This window comes from Homo sapiens, chromosome 5 (assembly GCF_000001405.40).
Source record: "Homo sapiens chromosome 5, GRCh38.p14 Primary Assembly".
Classification (NCBI taxonomy): Eukaryota; Metazoa; Chordata; class Mammalia; order Primates; family Hominidae; genus Homo; species Homo sapiens.
In genome coordinates, this window is record NC_000005.10 from 19186044 (window position 1) to 19195668 (window position 9625).

The 9625-nt window shown below is 33.5% G+C and overlaps 1 annotated feature.

Annotated features, from left to right (window-relative positions):
• Positions 4464-4664: a silencer, noted in NCBI's record as "peak5174 fragment used in MPRA reporter construct". NCBI's record gives its function as "represses an SCP1 promoter by STARR-seq MPRAs in K562 erythroleukemia cells {active_cell/tissue: K562}" and the evidence as "EXISTENCE:reporter gene assay evidence [ECO:0000049][PMID:32103011]".

Below are 9625 nucleotides of genomic sequence, written 5' to 3' on the forward strand. Positions count from 1 at the left end.
AGAAATGTGGGATTAGGGAAAGTGATCAAACGTATGTCTTGGCATTCCTGAAACAGAAGAAGAAAAAGTAACCCACATAGAAAACATATTTGAGGGAATAATTAAGGAAGATTTCCTCAATCTTGCTAGAGATGTTGACATCTAAAACAATAAATTCAGAAAACTACTAGGAGATACTACAAAACATAACCATCCTCAAGGCACATAGTCATTAGACTATACAACATGAATGCAAAAGAAAAAAAAAATCTTAAAGGCAGTTAGAGAAAAGGACCAAATTACCTGTAATAGAAATCCCATAAGACTAATAGTGCACATCTTAGCAGACACTTTACAAGGCAGAAGAGATTAGAGGCCTATTTTTACCCTTCTCAAAGAAAAAAAAGAAACAGCCAAAAATTTTATATTTCGCCAAAGTAAGCTTCATAAACAATAGAGAAATAATGTACTTTCCAGAGAAACAAATACGAAGGAAATCTGTTACCACCAGGCAAACCCTACAAGAAATGCTAAAAGGAGTTGTAGACATAGAAACAAAAGAACAATACCTGCTACCATAAAAGAAAATGTAAGTGCAAAGCCCACAGACCCTATAAAGCAAATATACAATTGAGACTACAAAGCAACTAGCTAACAACACTATGACAGAAACAAAATCTCACATATTAATATTAACCTAGGACATAGCTTAAATTCTCCACTTAAAAGACATAGAGTAGTAAATTAAATAAAAAAAACAAGACCCAACCTTCTTTTGCCTTCAAGAGACACTTCTCACATATAAGGACACCCATACACTCAAAGTAAAAAGATGGAGAGATATATCATGCGAATGGAAAATGAAAAAGATCAAAGGTGGTCATTCTTGTATCAGATAAAATGTACTTTAAACCAACAACAGTAAAAGAAAATAAAGAAAAGCATAACACAAAGTGGTAAATTCAACAAGAAGATTTATCTATCCTAAATATATATGCAGTTGATATTGCTGCACTCAGATTTATAGAGCAATTACTGCTAAAATTTTCTCCCATTCTGTAGGTTGCCTGTTCACTCTGATGATAGTTTCTTTTGCTTTGCAGAAGCTCTTTAATTTAAACGATCCCATTTGTCAATTTTGGCTTTTATTGCCATTACTTTTGGTGGTTTAGACATGATCTTTGCCCATGCCTATGTCCTGAATGGTATTGTCCAGGATTTTTATGAATTTTTGCAATCTATTGATCTGACAAAGTGCTAATATCCGGAATCTACAAAGAACTTAAAGAAATTTACAAGAAAAAAAAAAAAACAATCCCAACAATAAGTGGGCAAAGGATATGAACAGATACTTCTCAAAAGCAGACATTTATGCAGCCAACAAACATACGAAAAAATCCTCATCATCACTGGTCATTAGAGAAATGCAAATCAAAACCACAACAAGATACCATCTCACACCAGTTAGAATGGCGATCATTAAAATGTCAGGAAACAACAGATGCTGGAGAGGATGTGCAGAAATAAGAATGCTTTTACACTGTTGGTGGGAGTGTAAATTAGTTCAACCATTGTGGAAGACAGTGTGGCAATTCCTCAAGGATCTAGAACTGTAAATACCATTTGACCCAGCAATCCCATTACTGGGTATATACCCAAAGGATTATCCATTATTCTTCTATAAAGACACATGCACATGTATGTTTATTGTGGCACTATTCACAATGACAAAGACTTGGAACCAGCCCAAATGTCCATCAGTGATAGACTGTAGAAAGAAAATGTGGCACATATACACCATGGAATACTATGCAGCCATAAAAAAGGATGAGTTCATATCCTTTGCAGGGACATGGATGACGCTGGAAACCATCATTCTCAGCAAACTATCCCAAGAAGAGAAAACCAAACACTGCATGTTCTCACTCATAAGTGGGAGTTGAACAATTAGAACACGTGGACACAGAGAGGGGAACATCACACACCAGAGTCTGTCAGGGTGTGGGGGGCTAAGGGAGGGATAGCATTAAGAGAAATACCTAATGTAGGTGACGGGTTGATGGGTGCAGCCAACCACCATGGCATGTATATACTCATGTAATAAAACTGCACGTTCTACACATGTACCCCAGAACTTTAAGTATAATAATAATAATAATAAAAATTACTGCTATCTCTGAGATACAGAAAGCCATACAGTAGTAGTGGGGGTCTTCAACACTCTATTAACAGCATTAGACAGAATACTGAGGAAGAAAACTATCAAAGAACTTCTGGACATAATTTGGAGAATTGACAAAATGGACCATATTGATATGTATAGAATACAACACTGAACAAACACAGAATATACATTCTCATCTTTACAGAGACGATTGTCTAGGAATGATTATATGCTAGGTAACAAAGAAAGTTTTAATAAATGTAAAAAAAAAATAAAATCATACCAATCATCTTCTTAGACCACAGGGGAATGAAATTACAAATCAATACAAAGAGGAACTCACACAATCACACAATACATGGAAACTAAACAACTTGCTCCTGAATGACTTTTGGGTAAACAATATAATTAAGGCAGAATGAAAAAAAATATTTGAAACAAATGAAAATTGAGACACAAAACTTTTCAAAACCTTTGGGATAAAGCAAAAGCAGTGCGAAGAGGAAAGTTTATTATACTAAATGCCTAAATAATGCATATAAAAATCTAAATTAACAACCTAATATTGTATCTAAAGGTACTAGAAAAACAAGAACAAATTAAACCCAAAACTATCAGAAAAAAAGAAATCTGGAGATCAGAGCAGAACTAGGTGAAACTGAGACCTAGGAACCCATCCAAATGTCACGAAATAAAAAGGTTGGTTCTTGAAAAAAATTTAAACAAGATTGATAGATTGTTAGCTAATTCAACAAAGGAAAAGGAGAGAAGATCCAAATAAGCACTATCAGAAATGATAAAGGTAACATTATAACAGATCCCATGGGAATATAAAAGAACCTCAGAGACTTCTATAAACATCTCTATGCACACAAACTAGAAATTCTAGGGGAAATGGTTAAATTAATGAAAACACAGAACCTCTCAAGTATGAACCAGGGAGAAATTGAAACTCTGAACAGACCAAAAATCAGTTACAGCATAGAATGAGTAATAAAAAGCATACCAACTCCCGCCCCCTCCCAAAAAAAAAGCCTTGGACCAGAGAGTTTCACAGCCAAATTCTACCAGATATACACAGACGAGCTAGTATCTTTTCCTGAAACTATTCCCAAAAATAGAGTAGGGATTCTTCCATAATTTATTGTACATAACACATTTTATCTTCATATGAAAACCTGGCAAGAACACAATGAAAAAAGAAAACTAAAAGGCAGAATCTTTGATGAATATAGATGTAAAGATTCTCAAAAAAATACTAGCAAATCCAATCTGGCAGCACATCAAAAAAACATTCATCACAAATGAGCAATTGAGTGGGCTTTATTTGTGGTATGCAACATATGCAAATCAATAAATATGATTCACCACATAAAATTAAATACTAATATCATATAATCATCACAACAGAAATAGAAAAATAATTCTATAAAATGCAACATCCTTTCATGAAAAAAAAACACCAACAAGTAGGAATTGAAGGGATATACCTCAAAATAATAAGAGCTATTTGTGACAAACCCACAGTGAACATCATACTGAACAGGCAAAAGTTAAAAGCATTCCCCCTAAGAACTGGAACAAGACAAGGATGTCCATTCTCACTACTCCTACTCAACATAGTAGTGGACATCCTTGCCAGAGTGATCAGACGAAAGAAACAAATAAAAGGCATTCATATAGAAAAAATCAAGTTATCTCTGTTCAATGATGACATGATTCTATACCTAGAATACCCTGAATATTTCTTCAAAAGACTCCTAGACCTAGTAAACAACTTCAGTAAAGTTTCAGGATACAAAATCAATGTATAAAAATCAGTACTATTTCTATACACCAATTATGTTCAAGCTGAGAACCAAATCCAGAATGCAATTCCGTGTACAATAGCCACAAATAAATAAAATACAAAGGAGTAAAGATGGTGAAATATCTCTACAAGGAAAACAACAACACATTGTTGAAAGAAATCATAGTTGACACAAACAAATGGAAAATTATAATTTTAGTTGTATTAGCAGCTAAACAATGAGAAGAGAACCCCAACTATTGAATTAAGAGAAATAAACATGAGCTCGAATGCATTGTGTTAACTCAGACTAGGCCAGTATTTCTCAGTAACATCTGGTTTTAAAACATTTTTCACAATGCGTATATATGTAGTAGGCAGAGTGAGCCTCCCAAAGATGCCTGCACTATAATCCTTGAAATATGAATACATTACATTATGTAGCAAAGGTATTTTGCAGATGTAATTAACTTTATGAACCTTAAAACATAAAGACATTACCCTGGATTACCCAAATAGGCCCAATCTAATCACAAGAGTCCTTCAAAGCAGGAAACTTTCTGCAGCTGGAGACTAGAGTAATGAGGCTGAAAGAAAGTGACTTGCCTTTGATGACAGAATCATGGAGTCCGTAAGCATGGGAATATGTGTAGGTGGCTTCTACATTCTGAAAATGACTTCCAGTGCGCAGTCAGCAAGGACACAAGGACCTCAGTCTTATAACCACTGCATCATTTGATTGGGGAAATTTAATCCATTTAAAGTAATTATTGATAGGAAAGGACTTACTGTTGTCATTTTATTCGCTGTTTTCTGTGTGTCTTGTAGTCCCTTTGTCCCTCCTTTCTTTCCTAGATGTCTACCATTGTATTTAATTGATTGTTTTTGTATGGATGTGTTTTGATTCCTTTCTCTTTTTTGTTTGTGTATCTTCTATAGATATTTTCTTTATGGTTACCATGAAGCTTAAATAAAACATCTTTTTATAACAGTTTAAGTTCTTAATGACTTAAATTGCATATAATTAAACCCCCTCACACGCACAAACTTTATGTTACTGCTGTCAAAGTTTACATCTATTTTGTGTATTGATAAACATATTTTATAGGGTTTAATATTTTGTTAATTATTATTATAAATTATATAAATTATTATAGTGGTTAATATTTTTATATTTTATTTCTCCTTCATATCTGAAAGACAGTTTTGCTGGTACAGCATTGTGGTTGGCAGGTTATTTTTTTCTTTCATCAGTTTGAATATATTATTCTACTCCCTTCTGGTCTGCAAAGATTCTATTGAAAAAAATCTGATAGTCTTAAGGCAGATCTTTTATACATAATGAGTCACTTTTCTCTTGCTTCTTTCAAAATTCTTCGTCTTTGATTTTGACAATTTGTTTCAGTACAGAGATTTCTTTGGAATCCTTTTATGTGGGAACAATTTGGCATCCTGAATCTGAATTTCCATTTTCCTCCAGATTTGGAAAGCTTTAAGCCATTATTTATTCGAATCAACTTTCTTTTCCTTTCTCTCCTTTCCTGTTTGAGGCTTACATAACGAGTGTATAGGTTTACTAGATGGTGTCCTGTAAGTCCCTAAAGCTTTCATTCTTAATTATTTTTGCTTCTTTGAGTGGATAATTTCCAATGACCTTCCTCCAAGTTTGCTGATTTTTTCTTCTGCTTGATTTAGTGCTGTTGAACCCTTCTAGTGAATCTTTCAGTCTATTATATATTTTTTTACCTTCAAGATATCTGTTTGGTACTTTTTAATAGTCTCTATATCGTTGTTGAAATTCTCTCTTTGTGAATTTGTTGTTTTCTTACTTTGTTGAGCAACTTTATGATGGTTATTTTGAATTCTCCCCCATTGAAATTATATATCTTTGTTTTACTAATTTTGGTTAATGAAGATTTATCTTATTTCTTTGTTTGAAACACATTTCCCTGCTTCTTCAGTTTTTTTGACTCATTATGCGCTATCTGTATATTAGAAACAACAGCCATCTCTCCCAGTCTTCATGGACTGGCCTCATATGGGAGAAGACCCTGGTAATCAGCCTGTCCAAAGATTCTGCAGATTTCCTCAAGCCTTCATGCTGGCCCAAACTGCTATTGTTCTCATTGGCACTAGTCATTTAGAGTATGCTCAGTCCTGTTAGTGCTCCTTGACAGGTGAGGTAGAAGCTGCTACTTTGGACACTCCCTGGAAAAAATTGAAACATTGAATGTGAGGTCCAATTTAGCAGGGAAAATTTTTTGTGGAAAATCAGGGTGCTGAAAGTTTCTTTCTGATTATATTGCACTCTGCTTGGAGTGGTGATGGCAAAAGGGTACCTAAAATTTTCTTGAAAGGTGAATGTGACTGGTGTCCCTGTTATCAGATGCAGGATCTTCTCAACTAGTTTCTGGATGACTCATGCACAAAAAAAGTCTATATATTTCGTCATTGAATTAGTTTCTGGAAAAGGGAGGTCCTGGGCTTTTTATTCTGCCATCTTGTTGACATCACTCCCCCCACCAAGTTTTATATTCTTCAGTTACCTTTTATGTCATCCTGGTGGGAAAAATTGCCTAAATCGTTTTGCCTTATTCTTGCTTCATGTATGCTTAGAAAAGTCTGCTTCCAGAAGAGCTCTTTTTTAATTTTAGAGCTAATGAAGGCAATCTTTTATTTCCTTTGTTAATATTTAAGCTTACTGCATGTATGTATATGTGCATGTGTGTGTGCAATATTTTTTTTTACTCCATGAGTTTTTCACATTTAACAACTTAAAAATTAAAATTTGTATTACAATTGATAATATGCCATAATTTACAGACTGTACTTTTATTATTTTTCTTAATAATACAGAAATCCATGGCAGTTTAAAATCAATCACATCCTACATTTGATGAAATAAAGTATATACACATGTGTTTAACAGTAGTGAATATATGTTTATATACTGTGAGTGTGAGACAGAGAGAGACTGTGAGCACAATTCTACTAAAATAATTTGCAAACATTGATAACAAGTAACAGAAGCACTTGCTTCCTGAATTTACCATCATTATTACTATACAAAGGGTTTAGAATGACCAGTCAGGTTTTTAGTGCTCTAGTGCTTGCTCCAGGAAATATTCTATTTAGAAAATTGAACCTCCCCCTTTTTGAACAAGAGTAATTCAATATGGAACATCAAACAACATTCTGAGACTGGAAAACCTAGTCATTGTATTACTGGAAAAAGTTCTTCCATTCACACAGAGGTGATTGCTAAACATGTGAGCACCAACATAATTTTGGGAGGTGGGAGGAATGCATATAACAAGGAATAAAGAGAACATTAAATACTGAATCATATCAATATTTAAAGAGATGGAAGGAAAAGTCAATCAGGAAAAGAGCCAATTGCAGCACTCAAAAGAGAAGCAAAACTGTAGTACCAGAAAAACCAAAACAAGTAAGAGTTTCTAATGAGAAATGTCAATCATAGGCTGTATTTGACTTAACTTGTTCTTAATGGTCTCCTTAAGGAGAAATACAATATCAAAATTACTTTTTAACTTAGGCACAAATATGTGATACAAATTTATGTTATTAATTTGAGAAACCAGAACTAATATGTGAAATACAGAAAAAGCTATGCTTATAGCACTAACTTCTGAACTCTGCAGTTTCTGAAACTAAAATTGACAGGTTAAATAAGGAACATCAGCTTTAAGTTTCTAAAATATGTCATTTACTATAGTGAACAAAGTAACCCCAAAACACTTTAGACAGAAATCTTTAATATAGTAAAATTGTTTAAATACGTCATTTATCCATTAGGCTGTCAGACAACACTCCCACACACAATGAAATGCCTGCTTCTTGACAGTTGGAGTTGTGTGGGAAGATCTCTGCACTATACAGGCTAAAATAAATGCCCAAAATATACACTGCGCAGAAGGAACTTCCAGTTAGAGAAAATATGGTATTAATATAAATAAGCTCTGCATCCAAAATTGTTAGGAAATATAATAATAGTATACTCTTATGTAAAATGCTGGTGAAAGAAAAAAAATTAAATTAGGACTAGAGAACAGGAATTTAGTAGGAATTAATATAATTGAATATATCCATGGCATAAAATTTCAATAAAAAGTGGTAGATTTGACTTAATTTCTTGACAAAAGGATTATTTGATTTAGAAGGAAATGTATAATTTATTTTAATATACACAAACACACATTCTAGTGATAATAAAAACTGCTTTTCCTATGAATAATGTAATTTATCATTGGCAAAATTTATCAAGATAGCCATGATGAGAAATACGGTTGTTCGTTTTTAAAGAGCTAATTACACAAACATAGTTGAGCATTTCAAATTATAGCCTCTTGGACTCAAAGTTCCAATGATTACCAATAACAATGCCATCAGCCTCACCAACACCACCAAAAACTGTGAATTATTTAAGTTTATGGTGAGAAATGTCCACTTTTGGGTATTTCCCAAAAAGAGTTCATAATTCCTGCCACAGTTTTGCAAAGGAAACACTGTGTTCCTTTAACAAATTAAGGAACTGACACTCAAATAGTTATTCTCCCCAAGATCACAGAGTTTTAGAAAAAATGATTGTGGAATTTGAATCAGACGAATTTAATTTCATAGCTTGTTGTCTTTTATGTGTATATATTTATATTTTCTATATATTGCCTACATTCTGCAAGTAGAATGGACTTGGAACTAAAAATTTGTTTTATTCATAGCTTTGAAATTATTTGACTATAGCCTGAAATATTTTGCCTACTTTCTCCAGTTCTCAGTCCGTTTACCTATAAACTAAAGAAGATTCTGTAAGTTTCCCTCATTTAAATATATTCTGCACTTTTCCTCTGAGTTCTAAATTTGGCAAAATTTATGTTCTTTCTGTCAATCATTGTGTGAAAAATTGTCATGTGCTTTAACATTGTTGTAAGTGCTAAAGTTGAGTGGTTGAAAAGACAACCAAACCCTTGAGTTCAACTCATTTGACTGTGCAAGTTAAGAAATAAATAAATACATGACATAATATATTCATTATAGATACATATATACACACGTGTGTATGCACACATATGGGAAACATGATATGTAATATTGTATATGTAATTTATATGAGATAAAATTAGGTTGTGAAACAGATTCCAAGTGATGGGTTGTAAAAGTGCACTAATACTCCTTTTCTTAGGTGTCATTTGAGCAGACTAAAATGAAGTGAGGTGATGCCCTGTAAAAGAACTGGAGAATGTAATCAAAGGTATGGAAAAAAACAAAGGGAAAAAAGCCTATGACAATAGCGAGCTCCTGGATTTTTAGTGTCAGCAAGAAAACTGTGTAGCCATGTTGGAACAAACATCCTGGAGGATAACTACTTTATATTTACTCTACTGCAATCACTCAAGTTTGTACCACCCATGGGTCTTCCCATTTCCACTGGTGTTCCACTTCAGTTGGTTTTATATGTATTAGCCATAGAGGTGTGTTCAACAGTCAAATCCATTTCAAAAGCTACCAGTGAATTATGATCATATTCAGAAAAAAATTTCAGATCTCTTACTGTGGTGTAAATGTCTCTACATGTCCACCTGTTATAGGACTTGATGATGGGCAGGTAATGAGGCATAAGAAAAGGCATAATCAGGGAAAACTCTTGGATTTTGACCTGCCTAGTTAAATCATGC